This window comes from Homo sapiens, chromosome 5, assembly GCF_000001405.40.
Source record: "Homo sapiens chromosome 5, GRCh38.p14 Primary Assembly".
NCBI lineage: Eukaryota > Metazoa > Chordata > Mammalia > Primates > Hominidae > Homo > Homo sapiens.
In genome coordinates, this window is record NC_000005.10 from 7,852,217 (window position 1) to 7,877,915 (window position 25,699).

The following is a 25,699-nucleotide window of genomic DNA, read 5'->3' on the forward strand; positions in this document are numbered from 1 at the left end:
GGTAGGAATCTCTTGTCTGCCATTCTGTGATGCAGGCTGGTGGCTTAAGATGCCTCTCTCATTCTGAGGCACCTGGTGATCCACTCTGTAGAGGTCTCCAGAGTTCTAGAGATCCTTCTGGGCAGGATTTAAGACATCCCGGTGCCACCACGCTTTTTCTCTCTCTTTTTATTTATATCTGTCTCTCTCGTGGGTCCCCATGAGCTTCCTGAGAAACCCATGTGCCTTCTTTGTCCCACTAACACATCTTTTTGCTCCATGGCCAGGCAGAACACAAGTCAGCCATGAGTCAAGGGTCAGACACCTGCCCACCATGTCTCTAAGCCCCAGGGGACCTAGCAACCTCATTGGAGCCACTTGGAGAGGGTGACATATCCCTGGTGCTTGGAGATGGAGCACCATCTCTCCTACATGTGAAGCAAAGGAAAAGGGGCTCTTATTTTTCTCCCATGGGCTGAAGTCATGAAAGGCATGACTCATACTTTTTTGCTTTTTTGGCCTCATTAAAGCAGCAGCCAAATATGTTTTTTTTTTTTAAGCCCTTATAATCTACTGCCTCTCTCAACTTCTCTCAATGTCTCCAAATACACAAGAGAGGTCAACTAATGGTCACAAGATTTTGTAAGCTTTGCATTGGTGACCCAGTATCATACTTTGGAAAGTGAAAGTACTTGAAACCAATTATCTTGGGAATTCAGCTAAAACTGAGACCGAGATAATTTCTTAGTAAAAGAAATTAGTAAAGTTTACACAGTTATACAGATGTGAATCTGCTAACTTCAGTTCAGTCGGTGACATTTTGTCATGTCCTAGACCAAGAGCTCTTGAGGGCAAGGCTACCTACATCTTTTTCTTCTTGGATGGAGATATGGTTAGGCTTTGTGTCCCCACCTTAATCTCATCTTGAATTGTAATCCCCATAATCCCCACATGTCAAAGGAGTGACCAAGTGGAGATAATTGAATCCTGGGGGCCATTTCCCCCATGCTGTTCTTGTGATAGTGAATTCTCACAGGATCTGATGGTTTTATAAGGGGCTCCTCCCCTTTTGTTCAGTGCTTCTCCTTCCTGCCACCTTGTGAAGAAGGTGCCTTGCTTCCCCTTTGCTTTCTGCCGTGATTGTAAGTTTCCTGAGGCCACCCCAGCCATACTGAACTGTGAGACAATTAAAACTCTTTCCTTTATGAATTACCCAGTCTCAGGTATTTCTTTATAGCAGCATGAGAACAAACTTATACAGATGGCTCAAGTCAGGCATACAGGCATACAGTAGGAAGTCAAATATTTGAGTCTGAGACAAGGGCCTGAGTTTATTTGGGAGGTAATTCCAGGGAACAGGAGAGAGGGACCAAGAGGAGCAAGAAGCAGGAGAGACACCAAGGATGCACTACCCAGGTCACTGCTGAAGGCAACTGGTGAATGGTCATGAACCTTTCTGAGGGGCCTGGAGAGGCCTTGAAGAATTGCCCCAGAGGATCAACATGGAGGCATGTTTCATCACTTGCTCCTGTCTGCTCGGTGGAGGCTCGCTCCTTCAGTTGTTGACTCCTGAACTTGTACGACCACTGCCCCAGGGCCTCACAGTCTCCCCTGGAGTGTCTTGCCTCCTTGGTGTCCGAGGAGCCCTAGGGCTGACAGCAAAAGACAGGGGCATGTACTGGAGGTGAGATGCTTCTTTCATGAGGTGAGTCATAGCCCCACGGAATGGTCCACCAGAGATGAGGGTGGAATGAGATGTGAGGCCCTGAGGATGCAGGGCAGGTTACCAGAGACAGATGAAACCATGGGCAAGGCAGACTTTGGCAATTTTGATTATTAAGAGGCTTTAGTTCCTTTTTTAAAAATACTCTTTTTAAAAAAGTATTTTCCTATATGATCTTATTATATATTCCCAGGTACATGAGTGGAATACAAGGTCACAGAGTCATACATTTAGGCTCCTCATGTCTGTACTCGTACTCAAAAGTTCTGTGCCGGAGAAGGGGAGGATGAAAGAAGCATAAAAACCCTCCTCTCAAAGGAGGCAAATTAATAGAGTAAGGACACACACTGGGGCTGGGTTAAACATAGTGTATTAGTGAGGGTTCCCTCAAGGGACAGAACTAATAGGATGTATATATATATCTATGTAAAGATATATATTATATATATTTTTTTATATGGGAGTTTATTAAGGAGTATTAACTCACGTGATCACAAGTTCCCTGTATTAGTTCGTTTTCACTCTGCTGATAAAGACATACCCAAGACTGGGATGAAAAGAGGTTTAATTGGACTTAGAGTTCCACATGGCTAGGGAGGCCTCAGAATCATGGCAGGAGATGAAAGGCACTCCTTACATGGTGGCGGCAAGAGAAAATGAGGAAGATGCAAAAGCGGAAACCCCTGATAAAACTATCAGATCTCATGAGACTTATTCCCTACCACGAGAATATGGGGGAACCACCCCCATGATTCAAGCTATCTCCCTCCGGGTCTCTCCCACAACACATGAGAATTATGGAGATTTGGGTCGGGACGTAGAGCCAAACCATATCAGTCCTACAATCGGCCACCTGCAAGCTGAGGAGCAAGGAGGCCAGTCTGAGTCCCAGAGCTGAAGAACTTGGAGTTTGATGTTCAAGGGCAGGAAGCATCTAGCACGGGAGAAAGAGGTAGGCTGGGAGGCTAAGCCAGTCTAGTCTTTCACCTTCTTCTGCCTGCTTTTATATTCTGGCATCATTCCCAAGGCATTCAAGCCAAATTGAAGCAAGTCTCTGGATCTGCCCTTTGGTTTAATAGGAAATGCAGCAGATAGATATAGAAACAAGTTAGACAACACCAAATCAACAGTGTGGGACATTCTACAGGGCAATTGATCTAATTTCTCCAATAACTTAATGACATGAAAACTACGTGAGAAAGAGTAGCAGTTAGAGACATAAGAGACTTCAGTGGTAGAATCTCTAAAAGTCATACGTGGACTTTGGATCCTGATTCAAAAACATCAACAGTTAAAAAATATTTTTGAGATAGTACAGGAAATTTAGAATATAGACTACACATTAAATGATGACAGGGAATAATAACTAATTTTGTTATTTGTAACAATGGCTGAATGATTAGATAAAAAAAGAAAAAAAGCTTATCAATTATAGATGAATACTGAAGTATTTAGGATAAAATAATATGATAGCTTGGATTTCTCTAGAAACATTCCAGTGGAAAAAAAAAAAAGAAAAAGTTAAAGAATAGATGAAACATGATTGGAAAATTATGGTAATTTTCATGCTGAATAGAGGAACTTGCAAACTTATACTTTTTTTTTTAGAGATGGGGTTTTGCTCTGCCACTCAGGCTGGAGAGCAGTGGCGTGATCATAGCTCCTGGCCTCAAGTAATCCTCCTGCCGTGGCCTCCCAAAGCACTGGGAATACAACATGAGCCACTGAGCCAGCTTTTCTTTCAATTCTTATACTTTTCTTTCAATTCTTATGTGTGTTCAAAATTTCCTGTAATACAAGCAAAAACAGTAGGGTTATTAAGATTGTTTCTTGTAAACATTAGAACCCAAAATATCAACTCCACCCACACACTGTGAGCACTCTGTATCGGAGACTGTGGGAGTGGGAGGGAGATGTTTGCTTTTTCTGGGATGGGATTACAAGTACTGGATGAAGGCAAAATTTCTTTTGATGGAGCCCAACAGGGGGAGAACATCAACATGAAGGCAGGTTTCCTGACTCGTGCAGCAGGGGAGACTGCACACCACAGGAGCCTAGAGACATCGAGTCAAACATAGGACTAGACAGGGCTGTTGTAGGATTTGGGGAGGGGTGAATTTAGGTAAAATTTAATGAAGCTGAGCTGGAGAGACTCAAGCACAGCAAGTTAGTGTGCCAAAGAGTTAACAGTAACCCTGACCTAAGAAGCCGATTCAGGTCCCTCAAAGGGAAAAGAAATGTGGAACGTTGTATGCAAAATTCCCACGTCTAGAGCTCTGCAATTGAGGGGGATATTGAAGCTACTTCTCCATTGGTCAGATTGGCCCATGTGGCTCAGCTCATATAGACAACAGTTAGATGTTCCATTTTATTGCTCTGATTTCAAACAACAAAGGCTTTAGAGAACAAAGTTTCTTAGCACTATGTCCTTGATGATAATTAACAAAGGCAGTTGTCAAAGGCTCACAGTGGCACCCCTAGAAGTCCTGACCAGCAAGTTAGCCATGTTCCTTCTTACAGACCATTCCTTACATGACCCTTCACCGCGAGCTGTACGATAAAGTTTAACTGAGAATGAAGGAACACACGTGTACCAATAACAATAATTGCACCCAATGTTCACTGAGTATTTACTATTTTCCAGGAATTGGGCTAAACAGCTTACAAGACGTGTCTCATTTCACTATCTACACTAAGTATTTAGACTCCAAATGGGGGTGGGCACATTCCCAATTTGGGAGATCGCAGCCCTAAGGGGATAATTTGCCTGGTTCCTCACTGAGCCAAGACCCCTCTCTGGATTTGCGCACATCATCTTCTGGTAGGTATACTTTTTTTTTTTTTTAATTTTATTTATTTTTTTTTTAGGAGGAACTGACTGCTTCCGTTTTCCCAGAATTCTATCAAATATCTTTCAAGTGTCCACATGTACCCAAGCGACGCACATTCCTCACATAGAGGAAGGCAAGGAAAGGTAAAGAAGACTGCCTGTGTTGTTCAGGCAGAACTGTCACCACACTCTTCCACAGCTCCTGCCTGCCTGCCATCTACACACACACTCACAACACACACTCAGAGAGGATCCACTCTCTCCTCCAGAGATCCTCTAGTTTCAACTGCTGCAGCCCAAAGTCCTGAACTTTGCTGCCCCCTATTGATAGGCCCAAAGACTATCACTGTTGCTGCAGGGGTTGTGCTAGCAAGTAAAACAATTTTTTTTCATTCATTTTTCTTGCTTTGCTTTACTTTTGAAAACAAATATAGAAAGGTTATGCAATTATTAAAAATATTATCAAATATATAGTTGCAAGAGCCATCATATTGAATATGTAATTGCAACTGACACATTCAGATCACTTTTGTTTGTACAGGTATAGACATACCAATGAATTCATCAGCATGAGAATTCAGTTTAAAAGGACTTAGCTTTATGATTTGACAAAGCTTGTCAAATTTGCTCGTTAGTGACACCAGCAACCTTATATCTCTCTATTAGCCTAAATTATTTTCATGTACTTCGGGATTAAAATTTGAACAGGGCCAGAGGCAGGTCTAGCCTCCCTCCCTGGGCCAACCCTGTATGCTTTACACTGGGTGTTCCAGCCATTGACAATTGCGCCCCTAGACCCTGCTCTCTTCCTTCTAAAACTCAGCTTACAAATCACTCTGAGGCTCTCTCTCACTGCCCAGGTGGGCATGAGGTCTCTGTGTTCCCAGAGCCTTGACTGTGTGTCAGGGTGCCGGAGGCCTCACCACTCCCATCGCCTGCTCACTAATCTCACCTGTTTCAAGCCCCTCAAGGGCAGGGGCTCTTTCCTATTTGGCCCTAGAGCTGGAGCATTGAGTGTGCCCAGCGTGATCAGAACTGTCTGCTGAATGCGTACGTGAAGAGGGTAGGGGAGAGCCAAATGAGACAGGATCAGCAGAGGCTGTAAGTGAAAACTGCAGAAGGAGGAGCATCTGATTCTGATGAGCAAACAGGGAAAAGCTTGCAATGGATGAGATGGACTTACATCAACAGCACAGGTGAAGAACGCTCGTGCTGTATTTTTCTTCATAGCATTTATAACAGACCGTCATTACCTCTTCGTGTGGCTGTTTAATTGGTTAAGTCCCTTTCTGCTCCTTAAACTGAATGCTTTTAACCTCACACCACATTGCTGGGTTGAGTTTCGCACCAAAAATTAGCTGAGTCATAGGAAGAGGTGTACAGCACAGTGAGGGTGGACCAGAGGCCAGGGAGGGAACCTGAGTTCACTAAAAAGGCAGAAAAAGACACAGGACTGGATATTAGCTGCAAGGAGGTGTGAAAGGGGTTTCTGAGGCCTGATATGATCTGGAACAGATCTTAGGCTCAGTGTCAGGAATGCCTGTTTTAAGTCATCTAAGAGCTGTGAAAAAGTGTAAATCATCTAATTACCCAGATTTCAGAGAGCTGTGAGAATCCTTCCAAGCCAGGTCCCAAATGAGCGGCAAGGTCAGCTGGGTACCCGGATACATCAGAATCTACCGTGCTTATCTCCTGCTCAATCTCAATTTGCTTCCATTGCCTCTCTCTTTCTTTGTAATTGGAGACAAAAAATGATCTTAGCTCATCTAGTTTCCATTTCCTGTTCTAAAGATAAGTAAATAGACCCAAAAAGCTAAAGTGAAGTAAAAACCATGATGGGGTAGACGTTCAGACTAACACCAGCTAACTTGCACTGTGTGCTTACTCTGTGCAAGGCACTTTTCTAAGTGCTTTATGTAATTATCATCTCAACCTGTTACAGGTTCAATTGTATCCCTCCTCCCTCCTTCAAAAAATACACTCTGCTACTCCAGTCGGCTCTCTTGTCCTCTTCTCCTTGAAACTGTAACCTGACTGTGATGAGGCAATGAAGGCTCTGCAATGAACTAATGACAATTTAATTCATTCTTGATTTATAATTTAGAAGATCCTCCCTCCAATCAAACAGCTCCCCAAAAAACCTACCTAAATTGCTTTTCCATTTCTCTAAATATTTATTAAAAAAAAGTTTCCATACTAATATATCTCATTAACCAGAAGATTGTTTCTGCATAATTCTATAATATTTATATCCAAAGCACTGTACTCTATTTCTCATTGCTCCTTTTCCTTACGGTAAATCTCACTTCCACTCACAGCACACAAAGAGAAAAAATTTCCTCCATCTGTTAGAAAACAAAAGGTCTCTAAAGAGCAAAATATTTTCATTTAGCAGATAACTATGACAAAATACTTAAAAATAACATTTATTCATTGAATTCCTTTACAGCACATGATCAATTGTTTGATGTACAAAAAGTATCTATGACACTAGTATTAAATTAAAATTAATTTTAAATTTTACCACAATAAATGTATACATAGTATAAGGAAAACTACAGATGCTTTCAGATCACCAGTCTAGAACATATTCTGCAAAGTGGCTAATTCACATTATATTTTTCTTTTAATACTGAGTTCCATAAAAATGCAAGTTCTTCCATTGTTTGAGTTCTGAAGTCAGTATTCATTCTTGCAACCAATGAACAGTGTTTTGAGAAAACAGTTTTCTTTGTAAATATTCCACCAATTCACGTCTTGATTTTAGCATCCCAATCTCATGATAGGGGATCTGTAAAGGTAGAAAAGTAAAACTGGTCAAGATCCTTCAAAATCTGAGGTTCCTCTGGCTATTGGTTACTTTGTTTGTTTCTTACACGCTTCCCCACAGCGGAATGTAAGCTCCTGGAAGGCAAATATCCCAACCAGCTTCTTCATCCTGTATCCCCAATGTCTAGAACAGTGCCTGGCACTGAGAAGGGGCTTGGTAAATATTTGATGAATTAATATGTAGAATATGCAAATAAGAATTAAACATGATCTCTTGTTCTCCAGGAGTTCACAACTTGGGTGGCAAGTTAAATTACACAATAAATATAAAAAACAAGCTGTAGGTTGGTGATCTAGTGCTAAGAGGGAGTGAGCATTTCATTAGATGAGGGTGGGGATGCCGACAAACTGCTGGAAGGTAGGTATTCAGAGAGCTGGAGGACGCAGCAGGGACAAAGAGGGAATGAAGAGGGAGAGAGCAGGAGGCGCAGCAAAGGAGAGAGTCTGCTCAGCTGGGAGCAGAGGGGCCAGGTAGTAATCATGTGCCTGCAGCCTGGCTGCAGGCCAACCATTGGAGGGTCTTGAATGTTAAGATGTAGAGAAGTTTTTACTTTATTCTGTAAGCAGTAAAGAAACATTGAAGCTTCTGAGTAGACACTGGCATGATTAGTTTTAGGAATATTCAGCTGGGGATGTGCAAGATGGAGAAAAAAGTCAGCAGATATGAAACCACAGTGCTGCCTAGTACTGACAGCTTAGAGAATTAGGGCAGCGCTCATTCTCACGCACTGCTGAGCCCTCACATAAGACCTTCTTACATTATCTACAGTGAAATATTTAAAAGGTCTTAAATATTAAGTGTTGGTGAAGCTCCTTATTTTAATGGATTATCTTGTTCATTTTTATTTATTAAATCAAGGAGAAATTAAAACAGAACATATATTCCAACAATTGAGTAATTCTAAAAGCAGGGTTAAGCATAGCTTATAATGAATATAGGTAGGCCCCACTTTTGAAAAATCAAAGCTCTGAAAATTCTGTATTTCAAAATATAAGTCAAGAGATTTAAGCCGAATTAACAACGTTGGGATTTAAACTAGACGTAAGATCGGTGGTCCACTGGGCTGGCAAACCAGTTAGTACTGTAAAAGCAAATTAAAATGGAGCCTGTGCCTGAAAAATCCCTGAGCAGACCAAGCCAGTTGGGCCTTGAAAATAACCTTAACTTTGCTTAAAGTGCAAATGTTAAGCAAAATTTAACTTGGGCTATTTCTTGTAGAAGCTTCTACTACAGAAAAACAGAACTTAAGCTCAACCAATCAGAAGCATCTCACAAACTAATAATTATATAACTAGGAACTTTCCACAGAATAGTTCAAACAAGGCAGCAAGAATATGTAACTGTAACCAGTCAAGTAGATTCTTTGTGTACTTGTGTTCTTCCTATAAAAGCCTCCCTCTTGGGTTCCCAAGCCATTTCGAGTTTTGTGCTGTCCAGTTCAATAATTGCTGCCTGATCAAATTCTTTAAAATTTTACTGTGCCTCAGATTACTTTTTAAAAGTAACCTGGAAAAATAATTTTGAAATAGGATTTGCTTTTGGGAAACAAAAAAAATAGGTGAAACCGTACCTGAACAACTTGATAACCGAGTAACTGTAGGTGTCTTTGTTTAATAGCTTCTTTCCCCAGTAAGTGTTTGCTATTGGAGCAAAACCTTTTTGGACCATCAATACACAGTGCTATCCTGAAAAATAAAAAAGGAGAAAAATACTTAATTTTTTAAATAATCCAAAATATTTATTATATATTTTAGTTGCCAAAGTTTATTTGGGATTTGGCTATTACTATGTGCCAATATTATTTTCAAATGAATCATGAATTTGATCTTATTAATATTAATGTTTATAAAATATTACAAGGAATTTCCCAACATGGTATTCTGAAATGTAGTATTTTAATTTCCAGAATCATATCTATTTTTTTCACCTTCTTGAGAAAAAGATACCGCTGCTTATTAGCCTCAACGAGTCTTGTAATGTGAAAAACACAACATTTTCCTGTACCTTTTATGGATATCTTCATTAGCTGTGGATGGCAATACAAATCCTTCTTCATCTAATTTAATTTCAACATCTGGTGAGAGAAGAAAGGAAAAATTCCTCGTGTGATACCCTCACAAACACTATCTTCCTGTATTCATTCCTTTGCTTTGCTTTGATTCCTTCCACCTTGCATTGATCAATTGGACTGAAGGCTGCAAAGTAATGACCACAACCAAACAATGGTGAGAATTTTAATTCAATTGGCTTTATGATCAATCAAGTCAGCCTTAAATTAAGAAAGCTCAATAACGCTAAACCACAGAATGGGTTCTGAAGTTATCTGGGGTATGACAAGAACCATGCATGCTTTCTCTTTCCCCTTATGATAGGTGGCAGAGATCCTTCAATCCAGACTGTGAAGAAAACCCTTGAGTTAAGACATTAGACATCTGTGCAACTCATAACTTCCATCATTCCAACTTGCAGTGCCTCCATGGTAAGTAAAGAAAGCATGCCACACCCAGACACCTGGTCTGCGAGCACGGAAGGCTTCCGAACTGTCCTTCCCCTCTGGTAAACTGCAGTTCCCTTCGTAAAGAGAAGAGAAGTGACCATCTGAAGCCTATGAACTGCTGTCCTTTACGAGAAGGCTTTCTTCTGCTCATCAAGTTAGAAGAACTGTAAGGACGGAGGACTTGGAGTCTCTTGTCAGTGCTGTCCAGGAGAAATTTCTGTGATGTGGAAATCTTTATAATGGTGCTGTCCAATTTGGCAGCCATGAGCCACATGTGGCTACTGAGCACTTACAATGTGACTGAGGAATTGAATTTTCTTAAACTTTTAATAATTTAAATTTAAATAGCCACATGGTCTAGTGGCTACTATATTTGGACAGTACAAGCCTAGGTTATAGTAGTAGCTAACAATTAGTGAGCATTTCCTACGTTCCAGGTACTATTTTATTTAGACCTTAAGTAAGTCTTTGAGGTCAATATTACTATCATTTTACAGAGGAAGAAGCAAGCAGAAAAAGGTTAAATATTCTGCCCAGGATATTCTGCTACTACGTGGCTAATATTTGAGACTTAAACCCAGACAGTCTTGACTCAACGGCTCTGCTGCTAACCCCAACTTGCCTTCAGGGAAGGGACCATTCCATTTTGCATTTCCAGAGAACTTCTATTGCTTCTAAGTCCCATATATCTCCAAAATCGAACAGGATGCTTAGGTTTAAAACAACAAAACTCCTTATACTACTTACCTATTGTATAACAATAGGGTGTCAACACTTTTGGAGCAAAATATAATCTTGCTCCTAAAAGGTTAGTCAGCCCAATCTTCACATATCTATAAAGCTGAGAATCCACAGGGGTCTCCAGGGAACAGCATGGGGTAAGAAATGACTTCACTTGATATTTAGGAAGGAGTTTTGGACCCTAAAAAATCATAAGTGCAAATGTGAGAAAGAAAAATAAGATATAACAACAGAGAATAAATTGAAGGTTACCTAGGTAGAAAAGTTTGATATAACATTACTTTATAGGCATGATACTTTTCCAGGAATTGGGACAGGCATCTCTCTCAAAATGATAATGCAAACTTCTCTTCTTACAGTGCAAGTCTAATAGTTCAAAATGTCTTTTATATGTGTTTTTACAGTAGTCACTGGTTACCATAAACAGAAAGAAAAGTAAAGAAGGAAGGTAAAAAGGAGTGAGGAGAGAGTGAGAAGAAACATAATAATGCTAACAGTTCAAGAAACATTTTTAGAACTGAGAATTGTCCCAAGGGTCTTAAGTACACACAACTAAAGTTTTCAACACAGGTTTAATTTCTCTAATCTGAAAATCCAAAATCCAAAATGCTCCAAAATCCGAAACCTTTTAAGCACAGACAGGCTGCTTAAAGAAAATGCTCATGAAGCATTCTGGATTTCAAATTTTTGAATTAGGGATGCTGAACTGGTAAATATAATGAGAATATTTTAAAATATGAAAAAATCTGAAAGCTGAAACACTTCTGGTCCTGAGCATTTTGGATAAGGGATACTCAATCTGTAATGGAAAATGTGATATAAATGACATTCCAGTTTAGGAAGAAAAGGATAGCAATATAATAAACGATGCTGGAGAAAATGGTTATTTATTTGGAAAATAACTAAATTAAACTTCTGTCATCCATGACAGATGCTAATAAATTCCAGGTGTACAACATGCTGACTATAGTTAATAAGAATGATTGCGTGCTTGAAAATGGCTGAGAGTACTTTTTTACCTTTTTTTTTGTTTGTTTTTGTTTTTGTTTCTGAGACAGAGTTTCACTCTTGTTGCCCAGGCTGGAGTACAATGACGCGACCTCGGCTCACTGCAACCTCCGCCTCCTGGGTTGAGCGATTCTCCTAACTCAGAGTCCAGAGTAGCTGGGACTACAGGCGTGTGCCATCATGCCCGGCTAATTTTTTGTATTTTTAGTAGAGACAGGGTTTCACCATGTTAGCAAGGCTGGTCTCGAACTCCTGACCTCAGGTGATCCACCCGCCTTGGCCTCCAAAAGTGCTGCGATTACAGGCATGAGCCACTGCGCACGGCAAGAGTACATTTTAAATATTCTTACCACAAAATAAAATGATAGATATGGAGGTAATACACATGTTAATTGGTTTGATTTAGCCATTCTACAATGTATACATATTTCAAAACAACATGAACATAATAAGTATATACAATTTTTGTTAATTAGAATACATAAATAAAAATTCAATTTTACTTTTAGATCAAAGATCTAAATAAAATTTAAAAGATATTATTTTTAAAAATGTAAAATATTCATGCTCTTGAGATAGGAACCTCGGAAGTCATAAAAGACAGATTCGACTACAGAACATTTAAAAATACATCATAAGTAATATTAAAAAGTAATAAAAGAGTACAAATCGGGAAAATATGTACAACATTCATAATAGTTAATATCTGTTTTACAATGAGTCCTTAAAGACAAACCATCCAACAGAAATAAATTAAGGTGTAGAAAGGCAATTCAAAAGAAATGTAAATGGCCAACACATATTTGAAAATATGCTAAACTTCATTAATGCTCATTAAAATGCAACTTAAATATATGATATGATATCCTCTTTCATGTAGTTGAGTAACACAAATTAAAGAGACTACTAACACACTGCAATAGAAGTGGAGGAGACATGGCCACCTTCATTCATTGCTGGGGAAATGTGACATCTGTAACTATTAGGGAAAAAAAATCTGCCAGTATCCATCAAAAATTAATCCACTAATCACATTTTTGGGAATCTAGTTTATATATGAAAAAAACCAAAAAGGCTCTAGTATGACAGGATTTGCAAGAATGTTTATTATAGCATTCCCGATAGAGACAAAAGTTGCAAAAACCTCCAAGTGCATCAATAGTAGAATAAACACCATGAAATATCATGCCTTTCTAAAAAGAATGCATGTGATCTGTATGCACTGGCCTCGAGGGATGGCCATGATATACTGCGCATAAAAGCAAATTGTACTTTGATTAGTGAGTCTCATTCCTTGAAAAGAGAAAAAAAATAGACAGTGTTTATGTATCTGTATACATTTGGGCGTAGAAACTGCTTTTAATACTGTTCCTTTAGAAATGGTAAGAGATCGGGGTTAACTATTATTTATCTTTATATAACTTAGTACTGTCTAAGCTGTTTTAAAAAAGGGGTATTTTTCCATTCTTATTACCTTATTTCAAAAATCAGATACTCTAAACTATGATTCAGAGTCAAGTAGAGAGAAGCAGAGAGAGAATGTCATAGTCTGGTGTGCTATTTCTGATTCTACATAAGGAATGTGATAGGTAATAGGATAAATCTTTATAGGTCTTTATGGGAAGAGCGAACTCTAGATAAACTAAACTCTATTAGATAAAAGTGAAATTTCTGGCTTGGCTTAAAAATATACTGTACTTGCAAATAATTTAGGTATTTGTTCAGTCCAGACATTCACACTTTGATAACAAACAGCTATGGGAAACCTAGTAGTAAACCTAGTACTAAAACCCTGTAAAACCTTCAGAGAGAATGGAGAAATACTGTAACTCACATGCCTGCAGCACTTGATAAAACCTCCTAAGAAATCTTAAACAGCAGGAAATTGTTCCTTCAAGAACAAGAACACAAAAATGGGGTCCATTTATCAAAGAAAAGCCTATCTGGTGGCAACTGACTCCAAGTAAATGAAATTCTGCTTTTTCAGGTTATTGAGACAGATCAGAAGTAAAGGAACTTAAAAGGAAACTGCACCCATGGGGAAATAAAGCCACATATAGTTCATGCTTTTACCTTATAGAAAGGGCATTCCAGGACTGAGGCTAAGAAAAGTTGGGTCAGTTGTGCCCGACTCAATGTGTCCAAATGAGATTCTTTACCTGAAACAGAAAGCATCCCAGTCATAGTTACGTCTGAATTGAGGTATGTATGAGAGAACATCATGAACATTCAACATCAATTTACACACTCCAGACAGAAGTATTCTATTTTTAAATGACACTATGAAATGAACTTGTTAGAATTAATTATGCCCTCCTCTTGCCACCAATGAAATTGACTTCCAAGAACCCAAGCTCCTAGCTACAGAATACAATTAAAAGAGATAAAATATGTTCACAGAATTAGTGGAAATTTCCTTTAACTATGGAGTTCCGGAAATTTGACATATTTGGGTGGCCTTGAATTAAGATGAATAATACCATCCTCTCAAAAAAAAAAAAAAAGATACAGTTGCTCACTCATCAAAAGTTCTAACATGTTAATGTGGCTATTTCCACTGCCATTACCATATCTCCTAAGAATGCTGCAATTTCTCAGATAAGGCAAAAGTCAGTTTATCTGAGACAGCTTTCTTCCCTCTACATGATTTCCTAGCATGCTTTAACTGTGTTTATGCCAGCATCTGTTAACTTCAGGTCTCATCTTCGGATCACTATGGAAGAAAAACTAAAGGCAACATATTGCCTTTATATGTGACTTGAAACCACTGCCAGTTCAAAGGTTACTTTTTTCCAACTGTCAGAATTTATAACCAACTCACCTTGCAGCCGTTGAAGGAAAAGAGGCTTGAATATTTTTGCCAGAAAGTTGACTGGATGGCATTCATTAAGTGAACATGAATGAAGAAGTTTCAATAATGATTTGGGTGGAAAATAATTGAAATGAGTGAATAGCACGTTTTCCAGCTTTCTAAATAAAGCAGAGGCATTTGGTGGCAAATAATTGAGTTTCCCAAATGGTTCCATTAAGGCAGAAATCTGACGAGGTGAAAATTTTTCTGTTTGGCAAACAAAAGTTTCTGCCACTGCATTGAGGATGGGTTTTGAAAGAATCAGTTCTCTACTGCAGTACTCCATGACCCTGCAGACAACTTCAGGATCCAACGTGAGGCACACCGCAGCTACACGATGCTCTAGGGCTTTTGTAAAAAATGTGTCATGGTGCCCAAAATATATGAACGCCTCCAAGACTCTCCTAAGCTCCTCGTTAGTGAAATGTGGGACATGCCTCACGACATATTTGCCCAATTTTATAATCAGAGGAAATGCTTGACTTTGATCAAGAACCACCAGGGCAGTGAGCATTTGGCTAATCAATTTAGGACTCAGGTTGGAAACTATTGATAGGGAAAAGTTGTTTATCTTATTTAAAAATGTTTGGTGTTCATCCACTTTTTCAGTACATGCCTGCAAGATTCTATAAAGGGCCACAATATCCTCCGGGGTAAATGTTTCCAATTTTTCACCTTGAAGTTGATTTATAATGAGTTCTAGTGTCACACAACCTGAACTGTGCAGTGTAATCAGACTTTCCCCAAGAATACAAAGATTGCGAACTTCCATGCCACCTTTTCTGAGACGATTTTGGCATTCTGCCACCAGGTTCAGCAACAGGCTACTTTGAGGATCCACATGCAACAGAATCAGAGCTTGCAAAGCAGTCACTAAACTAGTGTTTGACAGCTGTGAGGGCTCCTTTTCAAACTGAAAGCATAAAGCTTGAAAGATGCTATTCTCCAGTATTTCTTTTGGCAGCCCTTGATCACCATCCTTTTTTTCCACTTCACAAATTCGTTGTAAAGCTCCTGCTGCCATAGTGTCAGGCAGGGTTTCCATCGTGCTTATAAAACTTAGCACTTCTTCTGATGAAGTCAAGTTGCTCAGTCTCCTGTAAAACATCTGACTCTCCTCATTTTTAACATTTTGTTCAAGCCTGTCGCAGTCAGATACTTGAGAGAACACTGGTCCACCGAGTGGATGAAGGTCATTTCCATTTTTCGAATGAAACTTTTTACAATGGGCATGATGGAATTTGACCCCGAAAGGCTCAGGTTGTCGTGAACACAACCAAGGGCACAGACGCTCCTTGACTACCTTGTGAACATGATTTAGAGGTTTATTTTTTAAAGCAGCCAGAGCTCTATGCATCTGAAAATCAGATAAACGATAAAGGTTCTTCCTCAAGGTGATTAATGCCATACCATCAGATTCTCAATTTGATAACTAAATTAAAAAATTTAAAAACACATGGTTAAATACATTGAGAACATGATTGACCCAACATCAATGTTTATGAAACTACAAACGAGTATCTGGAAAAAAAAAAAAAAAAAAAAAAAGGATGGTTAACATATAAACACCAGAGGGGCAAAGTCTCTGCATCCTAGAGTTAGAAGAGTGGCTGACATTGAACAATAACAATCGCTATTACTTGCTAAACACTGTTGTAGGTATTCTATTAACTTACACAGATTCAGTACTTTTACTATCATTTTACACGAGGAAGAAGTTGAAGCACAAAGTTACTTTGCCCAGTTTATGCAGGTGGTTAAGTGGCAGAGCTAGGGTTCAAACTCAGGCAATGTAGCTCTTAAGGGTGGCCCTTAAATGTTGGTTGAAGGAAGAAATTGCATTTGGATAGAAATCAAAGAACAGGTAAAGTGGGCAAAATTAGGCGAGGTTAGAGCAAGGCAAGGGTAAAAACGCGCTGGAAAGGCCCTAAGCTGTTGGTTTCCCCTCGGTGTCGGGAGAAGGTTAGTGTTGAAGGAAAGGGTCTACTTTGTCAATGGAAACAAGGTAGGAAAAGAAAAAGCAAAACATAGATCAATGAAGGGAGAAGGTGGGGCGGCCAGTCCAGATCTAAAGACGGTGCGGGGGGATTTGGCAACACGTGTGTGCAAGACAGACAGACGGGAGGCCCCGCGGCGCGTTTTCCTAGGAATGAAAGGGACCCGCGGGGCGAGCACCCCCAAACTCGGCGCCCCGGGGACCTGCGCTGAGACACGGGCCGGGCGGCGCAGCCTGAGGAGAAAGCCGGCCAGGTCTTTGACACCCAGCCGGACCAACTGCGCGGAGACCCCGCGTTGACACCTACCGCGCTCTGCCGGGCAATCACTCCGGGTGGTCGCGGAAGCGCCTGGGCGTCGTGGGCCTCCGTAGCAAACGCGGGGCGGGAGCACGACTCAGGGCGGCGCAATGTGATTGGCCCAGGTCCCCTTCGGAGCTTTCTATTGGTCCTGGGTACCGAGCATGGGCGCTGCGTCAGTGCGCGCTGGCGCAAGGTTGGTGGAAGTCGCGTTGTGCAGGTTCGTGCCCGGCTGGCGCGGCGTGGGTAAGCTGCCTGTCGGCTACGGTTCCCGGATTCCGGCCGCTCGCCCTGCACTAATCTCCTGGGAGAGGCGGCCCGGGGCGGGGGTGGGCAGCCGGCTTGCGCCCGTGGTTCCCACGCCCTTCGGCCTCCGGGGGTCGCCGCGGGCGCGGGCTGGGGCTCGGACTTGGCCTTTGGCCTTTGGCTTTGGTGTCCCCGGGAGCGTGTCCTTGGGCTCGGCGTCGGCCTCTGCCGCGGGAGGCCCCTGGGCGGCGTGGGGTCTCTCCTCATGTTCTGCCTTTGGTTCTAGGCGCTTTCCAGGCCTAGGGAAACCGCACTCGGGGACGCGGGGAACTGGGGAACATGCCGGGTTGGGGCGGCGCGCTCCGGGGAACCCGGGACGTTCCGAGCGCCCACCCGGCGGGACGCGGCCGTGAGTTCTGCCCGCGGCCGTGAGCTCTGCCCACCGCCTCCGCGCCGCTTCCGGGGCTGCTGGGGCCCGGGCCTCCGCTGAGAGTCGTGGGAAGGTGGTGCCGGATTGTGGGGCAGTAGCAGGGATGAGGGGTTGATTGATCCTGGGAAGCCCTCAGGATGTGTGTTTCATGGGAAGTGATAGAAATTTTAGCTGTAGTAAGGTTTTCATTATCGTTTCCACCGTTTTCTGTGAGCTGTCAATGTGTAGTGTTTTCATATTGTTTATTCACTCATTCAGATAACTTATCGAGTACCAGTTTCATGCCAGGTGCCGTTCTGGGCGGTTCATTCACCGAAAGCCAAGCTTTTGGTTTGGGTTTCAGTTTAAATCTGTCTCTGCAAATTGACAGCCCACCAATTTTAGCCGTTAGATGAGTATGGAAAAAAATCTGTGAGTGTCGTTTGTTTTACTACTGCTTATCTCTTGCGGAAAAACGTGTTAGTAAAATGTTTAAGTGGATTGGAAATATTTTTTCGTTATATGCACCCGTTTGTATATATGCCCATACACTCACATATTTTTGATTTGCATTAAATAATGAAGGAGAGTATGTGCTTCAGTTACCTTTAGTACTATGATTAGTTTGTTTAGCGTTAGGATCAAATAAGAACCAAGAATCCTATCATTTTAATATAGTTTTTACTTTTATCTTTTTTTAAAAAGAGGAAACCAAAAGCTATTTAAGACTGTTGTGAATGATACTGTGGCTCAAGTTTTGTTCAGGTTCTTGGCTTGTGCCACATCGTTTTTCAGGTAGGTGGTAATACTCTCATTTTTAGGATAAAGGAGCTGTGGTACGGATCATTTGGGGAGCTTGTCTACAGGGTTGCACTTAGGAAACACAGATTCAAGCCCAAGTAGTTTCGAGCCGATCATCTGATTTCTGAGCCATGGAATTAGAGTTTCATTCGTACACTCTCCTTAATTTGATGAATTCTTATTTAGGCTCATTTGAGATTAGTGCTGAAAACAAATTTAGAAAAGGCCATTTCATATTATGTGTGGGTATTGTTGCATTGTTTCTTAAAGATTGAGGGAGAATTAATATCTTTAGGTTGTTACTGCTTCATTAAAAAGAGGATCTTTTTTCCCCCATTTTTCAGTTTCACTGTTACATGCCTTGAAGTGATGAGGAGGTTTCTGTTACTATATGCTACACAGCAGGGACAGGCAAAGGCCATCGCAGAAGAAATATGTGAGCAAGCTGTGGTACATGGATTTTCTGCAGATCTTCACTGTATTAGTGAATCCGATAAGGTTAGAGCCGTTACAGTGGATTTTACCGTTTTGTGCTTTGAAGAATTTTGGTTGGGAAGTGATATTTATGAAACAAAAGGACACTAATACCACCACATAGTCTTTGTTTTTTAACAGAAATGTGTTTGTTCAATGGTATAGTAAGATATCACCAGCATTTTTTTAATATAGAAGTGTGTAGTTGAATTAGACTAAATGGTCTCAAAAATTGAAACAAGTAACAACTCCTTAACTGTAAATGACAGAAGTAGCATATGCTGTGTCTGTTTCACAGGGTGGCTGTGAGAACAAGTGAGATGTGTGTTTGCCTGCTCAGGTGTGCTTTCCACCTCTTGAATCTCAGTGTCCCACTTTTTTCCCCAAAAGAAAGGCCTTGCCGTGCGTGTTAGAGTTCCTCCTGATGAAGGACCGCCTAGATTCTTTTGTGAAATAGAATTTAAAGTAGTAGTGTAAGGATCTGGAAAAAACTCGGCTGCTTCTTCAGGGACTAGTTGTTTATGTTCAGTCTCTGCAGAAGTTCCTACCTTAGGGTATATGCAACTTTACCATCTTGTGTTCTTTTATTTAGTTTGCTGCCTCCAGATTATACTATTTCAGACAATTCAGGCGATAACAGTTGGCAGGGGCTTTATACCACAAGATGATTTGCCAGCCGCTAAGCAGTTAAAATTCACTTCAACATTTCAGAGACTGTCCTGCCAGTGCTCTCTCACCCAAGTGCACAACCCTCTCTGGCCTTTCCTAAAACTCCAGTTCAGAACACTAGACTGTGTGCAGCTCAAGTGAATTATAAACCCAGCTCACGGAAGGAGACTCACCTAGTTCCTTTATGCAGCCCTGCCACGGTAACTCTGGACACCAGAGAAAAGGGAGCTTCCTGGAGGAGACTGCCAGTCAGCAGACTCTGTCATTCTACAGTAACTTAAGTTCAGATTGCAGTGCCACATGATGAAGTATCTGAATCTGTTACTTTGGACAAAACCAAAGCCATCAGTATCATAAAACTAGTCCTGATTTGGCCCCTTGTGGTTGACCTCAGTAAGTTGATCAGCAGGTGTTTTGGCAGTCAGATGAATGGTGAATTTTTTTTTTTAACACCAAGATAGTCATGCTATTTATCCTCCCTGGCTGATGGTTTCGTCTAGCTGTTCATAATCTAATATCCTTCCTATTTCACATAGTCCTTTTCAAGGTACTGACATTACTTATACAAACTCTGTATGTAGAGTTTAACACACAACTTACATAGAGTCTTGGAAGCATTAAATACTTCGGTAAAAAGTTAAGTTGTTACCTCTTTTATCAGTGTGAAAAATAAGGTGAATTATTTGGAGCCAAATTCGATGGTGTTCATGGGCAGTAAAGCTTGTGGAGTCTTACAAGTAAGACAAGGAAGTGTTCTATTTGAAATACTTAAATTTACACGAGAGTAAGAATAAAGAAACTTGATTTGTAAGAGTTTATAGCTCAGCTTATAGCTAATGATATTCTCAGAGTTAAGACAGTGAAATGCTCTATATGAAATATTTAAACTTACATGAGAATAAGAATAAACTTGATTTGTAAGAGTTTGTAGCTCGCTTATAGCTAATGATATTCTCAGCTCTCTGGAAACCTGAGGGAATGAGCGGTTCTTGATAGCCAGGTCCCTGATTTAGAAGGGGTAACACTTTTAATTTCCCAGTTTTAAAATGCCCTGTTATCCCTCTGCCTTAGTGTCACATGCAGTACACATGGCTGGTTTTATATTTTGCTGAAGATTTCAGAGCTGTTGTGTTTTTATTGCTGTTTTTCTTTACCACAGTATTCTACTTGTTGCTTCCTTGTCTTGGCATTCTAATCCTGAGTGCTTATGTATCAGTTCTCTTTATTTCTGAGTCTCCCCATCCCCATTTTAACACCTCTTTCCTTGCTTTTTTTTACTTTCTTATGAAAAGACGTTTCCACCCAGTTAGCTGCTGTTCCTCCTTGGCAGCTCATCACAGTGCCTAGGTGCCTCATCTTGGCTCTTAGCAGTGCTGATTTGCCTTGCAGATTTGAGCTCATGTTAATGTTTGGCCCATGACTCAGTGGCAAAGAGTTGACTATATCCTATTTCCTCTGATTTTTCTAAAAATGAAAGACTGGGACTAGATGGAAACCTGGGATGGGTACTGTCTGTGCCTGTCCCTGCCTTTCGTACACAACATGAAGAGAAAGACGTGTTAATCCCCCCCAACCTCTTGATGAGCATCAACAAAACAGACGCATGGTTTCCTTGAATGACATCCTGCATTAGGCAAATTGATTAAGCTGAGAGCGCCTAGTCACTGGACTGGTCGTCTCAAAAAAACTGGCAAGGAAGAAGATTGAAATACAAGACAGGAAACTAAGCTGATTGCTTTGCTGCTGAGTTAAATCAAAAATGCATGTAGTGTTAGGTCCCTGACTTGATATCCTTGTTTTGTAGTATGACCTAAAAACCGAAACAGCTCCTCTTGTTGTTGTGGTTTCTACCACGGGCACCGGAGACCCACCCGACACAGCCCGCAAGTTTGTTAAGGAAATACAGAACCAAACACTGCCGGTTGATTTCTTTGCTCACCTGCGGTATGGGTTACTGGGTAATGGACTCTCTCTTCTGATCTTACTATAGTATACTATTGATATCTCTGGTATCTGAATTATCTTTCAGAACTATGAAGTGTGATCATATAGGTTTTGTCTTTCTTATGTAAATATTATGTATATGTATATATAAATGTATGTAATGTGCTACCTTTTCTGAATCTTCCCCAGACTTTACCCCAGAGCCACACCTCTGCAGAACCTCTTGAGTAGCATTTTAATTAAGGATGCACCTCAGATGCAGCCATGAAACATTTTCAGAATAGCAGTGGCTGGGCCTCATCCTAAACCTACTGAAACAGTCCTTGAAGAAGCAACCCCTCATGCCATTCCTCCATTTAGAAAAGCAGAACAAAACAAAACACTCCCAATGATTTTGATAACTTCTCTAAGAACGATTCTCCCAGAATGAATGATTTTCATTTCCCAGCTACACATCAGGATTAGCTAGGGGAGTTTTTACTAAATTATATGACTTAGGCCCACCTCCAGTGATTCTGATGTAATTATTCCAAGGTAGGGCCCTGGCATCGTTATTTTTAAAAGCTCCCAGGTGATTCTAACATATGTATCCCAGGTTAAGAAAAACTGACTTAGGACTCTGTGAACCATAGTTTAAAAATGTTAAAGGATCAAAAGAACCAGATCAGCACAATATGATACCAGAGGGGAATTGAGGGTCTGCATTCCTGACTTGTGACCTATGTTGTTTTATCTTTGAGGATTATTTTTTGGAGAGGGTATCTAGCAAGGATGGGTTGAGTATAATAAATAACTGATTAGAAATTTGAGATTGTAACCCTGGCAATGATCTGTCATATATAACATGTTCAAGAGAGTATTTCACAGTATTTATAATTTTTTTTTTACCTTAAGTTTTTATACTTTCTGTATTTTCAAAGAGAGAACACATACTTGTTTGAAAATCCAGAAAAGACAGAAACAGAAGCCTGTCCCACTGTTCGAGTCAATGTTAGGCCTAAGCGTGGAACCACTCATTTCTCACCCTTTTGTAGAGAAAGAACATGGAGATGCCTGCACAACTGAGGGATTTAAGCTTTTTTTTTTTTTTTTTTTTTTACACCATGAGACATAGAAGCAATTCTTGATTTCCCCAACACAGAAACATACCACATTGTTAATTGTGGTTATTTATATGGCTGGTGTACCTTTCTTTCTATATCAGGAGTCAGTAAACTCTATGAAGGTCCAGATAGTAAATATTTTAGGCTTTGCAGGCCTACTCAACGCTGCTGTTATGAATAATATGTACACAAGTGGACTTGACTGTCTTTTAATAAAACTTTATTTACAAAGAAAGGCAGTGCATGGTATTTGTCCCAGAAGCTATGGTTGGCTGACCCCTGCTCAGTATCAGAAAAAATGTACAGATGACAGATATTGTGGTTTTGCAACCTGTCTGATCCTTGTTTTAAGATTTCTATATTTTTACACATAGTCATGGAGATGAAAATGTGAAGTCTTTTCTTTCAACAGCGGCCAATAAGTATTTTGTTTCATTATATCTGCTACTTTTATATTGTAAAATAGAAGAAAACTGCCTACATGCATAGAATTACTCAAGGAAAATAAAATGTGAAGCTCTGCATTATTACTCCATCCATAAGAGCATGAAATAGTATTATTTTAGATATTTTATTTACCTAGTCTTTGTGTCCTTAAATTTAAACTTTATTGTGCATTAATTATGTATTTGGGTTCTCTAGGTCTCGGTGATTCAGAATACACCTACTTTTGCAATGGGGGGAAGATAATTGATAAACGACTTCAAGAGCTTGGAGCCCGGCATTTCTATGACACTGGACATGCAGATGACTGTGTAGGGTAAGGGCAGTGTTCTCTGTTTACTCCAATAAGCCCTCTATACATGATGGAAGTTGATTTGTAAAACATGTCAGCTTTTCACTTAACACTGAAATTTTCCTCATGTTTTACTTTTGTTCGCTTTTTTAGCTTTAGGATCCAAGAGGGTCAGCCAGAGATTGATTTACCTATTTTGCTGATTTTCTTTTGTGTCCATCTCATCCTTGTCAGTATATGCTAACGGCAAGAGTTAGAAAAGGTGCTCCAGTACAGTTATCTTTATTTTAAACAGTGTAGGTATTTGCAGAAATCAGCTTGTTCTTTAGGAACTTTAATCGTGCATGTGCTTCTCTCTGCCATGCACGTGGAGCCTTTGGATTGGGCTCTTTACATGGAGGGAGCCTGGTGAGCCACACTTCGCTGTTAGAGAACACAGGTCTGTGGGCCTTCGCTGCAGGCTGCATTGCTTGGCGTGCTCTTACCGTCTGAACGGCCATTTGCCACCATGCCAATCAGACGTTTACAGACGCATACTTTATCTTTTCATTACTTTTATTTTTGTTTTTACAAGTCAGTATTTCACCCATTGTGCCACCTTTCAAATCATCCTGATGTGTTTATTCAGTGGTCCTACAGATATTGTCCTATAACTTACTTAGCCTTCAACTATTTTAGCCAGATAACAGCACACACCCTTAATTTTTTTCTAGTAGGTCCATGTGTTAATTTAATTTTCACTCACTATGTTACTGAATAATCTGTTTATGAGAAAATTACAAATTCAGCAAATGTCTTGCTTTTCGGCATACTGTATTTCTGCTGAACTCACCCTGTGCCCACTTCTTCCGTCTTTCCCTTCAGCTCTGATGCCATGGGTTTTTTCCATATCGCCAGCACACATATTCTTCCTGATTGTGACAAAGCTTTGTGACATTTCCTTGGGAATTCACTTTAGCTCTGTACCTTTATATTGAGCTTTTTTCTTTTGCCAGAAGCTCATTGACATTAAATGCTCAGTCTTGTATGAGCTGTGTTTAACTGTTAATGTAATGCTTGTGTCATCCATTAGGCCCATCACTCATCCATATTTCACTTCTCTTCAAAGGCTTTCATTTTCTCTGTTGATTTATTGGTGTAAGTATTGAAATGCTTGACTGTATATTTCAGTAGACTATAGTGCTTAGATTTTCAACCTAACTACCTTACTTGAATTTTTCCTTTTTCTGAAATGAAGATATTTTCAAGACATTCTTGCTTGATGTGCCACCACACTAAATGGGGTTACGAATGCACACTTGAGTCCAATACCTGGGTTCAAATCCTTGATCCCCCACTTACTGACTGAGATCTTGGTTGAATTAGTTAAGCTTTTTGTTCCTTGGTTTTTGCCTCTGTGCAATAGATAACAGTAATCTATTTACTGTGTAAGCTTCGTAGGAGGGTCAAACGGATTAATACATGTCGTCCTCTTAGAAGAGTGCCTGTCGTCATGTAGTAAACACTCAGTGAACGTTAGTTCTCCTCCTGGTTGTGCACACTATCACCTTAATATTTCTGAGTTGTGAGAGTGATATTTTACATGTAGCTGTTATTGTTGAACTGTAGTTTTATAAACTTGTTTTCACAAAGGCTCCTCAGGGCAGCTCTAATGTGTAACCACATTTTGAGTAGTGTACCACATGAGCACCTCCCGAGCACAGTGAAATGACAACCTGAGTCATAATGACACACGGGCCTGAAATCTGCCTCCTCTTGGTATTCATTTCGCTTTAGGAATTAGAATTTAATTGATCCTCCTTTGAGCTGTGATTAAAAGTGGTGTTATTTCCACAGCCCTGCCACAGTCTTATCCACTGACTCTACTTAAACTTCTCTGTTCAGGGAATGGCTGTTGTTATGATAATTTGTTAGTAGTAGGTGGACTGCCACATTTAAAAAATCTATTTATGATGAATTCAACTTTCCCAAAGGAGGGTTGCTTTTTTTTTCTCCTGTTGTCAGCCTCCCTGGGAATTTTACTAAAATAAAAAAATAAATAAAGGCTTTAACTATTTATTTAGTCCAAGGACTTGGCATTAATCCATAGTGATTTCTTGGTGATATTTTAATCTGTAGGAAACAGATCAGTAGATCAGTAAATTGGCTAGGCAAAAAAAAAAAAAAAAAAAGGTGCATTTGATGGATGGAATGAGCATTTGCAGCATTATGGTAGCCTTGGATTTTGGTTAAGTTCTGTTAGCATTAGTATGCCTATTTAAAATTATATCTTCTTAAAATAAAGTTTACCAATTCTGGAATATTAGGAGGAATTCTATTCCTGTCATCCTATTACTAGAATATCTTCCTATCCCTCTTCATTTCTTCTACCTTTATACATACTCATGTTTTCAGCTACGGTGCTAATGAACACATAATATATCCTGCTTGTTAAAACTTAATCATGAAGTATTTTTTGTATTCCGAATGGTCTTCATAGTGTTTCTAACAAGTGCATACTTTGCCAAATGGACAGACTGTCATTATCCTGTTCTGTGTTCAGATGGAGAACTTAGGCATTTGTT

At 40.1% G+C, this 25,699-nt stretch overlaps 2 protein-coding genes across 32 annotated transcripts in view, besides 3 other annotated features; one reads left to right on the forward strand and one right to left on the reverse strand.

Moving 5' to 3' along the window:
* MTRR (5-methyltetrahydrofolate-homocysteine methyltransferase reductase) overlaps window positions 1-25,699 on the forward strand; it is a 50,255-nt gene that overhangs the window by 1,358 nt on the left and 23,198 nt on the right. For 6 of the 26 annotated variants that reach the window (NR_157176.2, NR_157178.2, NR_157175.2 and 3 more), the window contains exons 1-4: window positions 16,932-16,999; window positions 18,554-18,707; window positions 21,157-21,310; window positions 23,042-23,159. Coding sequence is in view for 12 of the 26 variants with exons in the window: in NM_002454.3 (NP_002445.2) it covers window positions 18,579-18,707; window positions 21,157-21,310; window positions 23,042-23,159 (401 nt within the window). In the remaining 14 variants the exon portion in view is untranslated. Of the gene's footprint in view, window positions 1-4,570; window positions 4,677-9,268; window positions 9,588-9,734; window positions 9,842-16,931; window positions 17,841-18,553; window positions 18,708-21,156; window positions 21,311-23,041; window positions 23,160-25,699 lie in introns of those variants that run through there. The other 20 variants (NR_157173.2, NM_024010.4, XM_047417235.1 and 17 more) reach the window with 11 other exon arrangements.
* On the reverse strand, window positions 6,943-16,815 carry FASTKD3 (FAST kinase domains 3). 6 transcript variants are annotated; one of them, XM_006714498.2, is made up of 7 exons: window positions 16,763-16,815; window positions 14,430-15,891; window positions 13,682-13,767; window positions 10,607-10,781; window positions 9,367-9,436; window positions 8,933-9,047; window positions 6,943-7,323 (listed from the first exon to the last, which is right to left on the reverse strand). In XM_006714498.2, the coding sequence occupies exons 2-7, from the start codon at window positions 15,865-15,867 to the stop codon at window positions 7,219-7,221; spliced, it is 1,989 nt and encodes a 662-aa protein (XP_006714561.1). In that variant the 5' UTR covers window positions 15,868-15,891; window positions 16,763-16,815; the 3' UTR covers window positions 6,943-7,218. The 6 variants fall into 6 exon arrangements, 4 of the variants coding, with proteins under 4 accessions (XP_006714561.1, NP_076996.2, XP_047273655.1 ...); NM_024091.4 differs by having other exon boundaries at window positions 14,430-15,980; NR_036553.2 differs by lacking the exon at window positions 14,430-15,891.
* Window positions 16,825-17,264: a silencer, noted in NCBI's record as "silent region_15904". NCBI's record gives its function as "represses an Ori minimal core promoter by ATAC-STARR-seq in GM12878 lymphoblastoid cells {active_cell/tissue: GM12878}" and the evidence as "EXISTENCE:reporter gene assay evidence [ECO:0000049][PMID:35858748]".
* Window positions 17,275-17,324: a silencer, noted in NCBI's record as "silent region_15905". NCBI's record gives its function as "represses an Ori minimal core promoter by ATAC-STARR-seq in GM12878 lymphoblastoid cells {active_cell/tissue: GM12878}" and the evidence as "EXISTENCE:reporter gene assay evidence [ECO:0000049][PMID:35858748]".
* Window positions 17,385-17,434: a silencer, noted in NCBI's record as "silent region_15906". NCBI's record gives its function as "represses an Ori minimal core promoter by ATAC-STARR-seq in GM12878 lymphoblastoid cells {active_cell/tissue: GM12878}" and the evidence as "EXISTENCE:reporter gene assay evidence [ECO:0000049][PMID:35858748]".

What these genes read in the sequence shown, in the direction of transcription:
- FASTKD3 (XM_006714498.2), bottom strand. Translation starts at nt 15,867, where the DNA reads ATGGCATTAATCACCTTGAGGAAGAACCTTTATCGTTTATCTGATTTT. An exon ending in TTTCCTTCAACGGCTGCAAG is followed by an intron (nt 13,768 to 14,429) that starts GTGAGTTGGTTA and finishes TTTCTGTTTCAG; the next exon opens with GTAAAGAATCTCATTTGGAC. An exon ending in AATGAAGATATCCATAAAAG is followed by an intron (nt 9,048 to 9,366) that starts GTACAGGAAAAT and finishes TTTATTTTTCAG; the next exon opens with GATAGCACTGTGTATTGATG.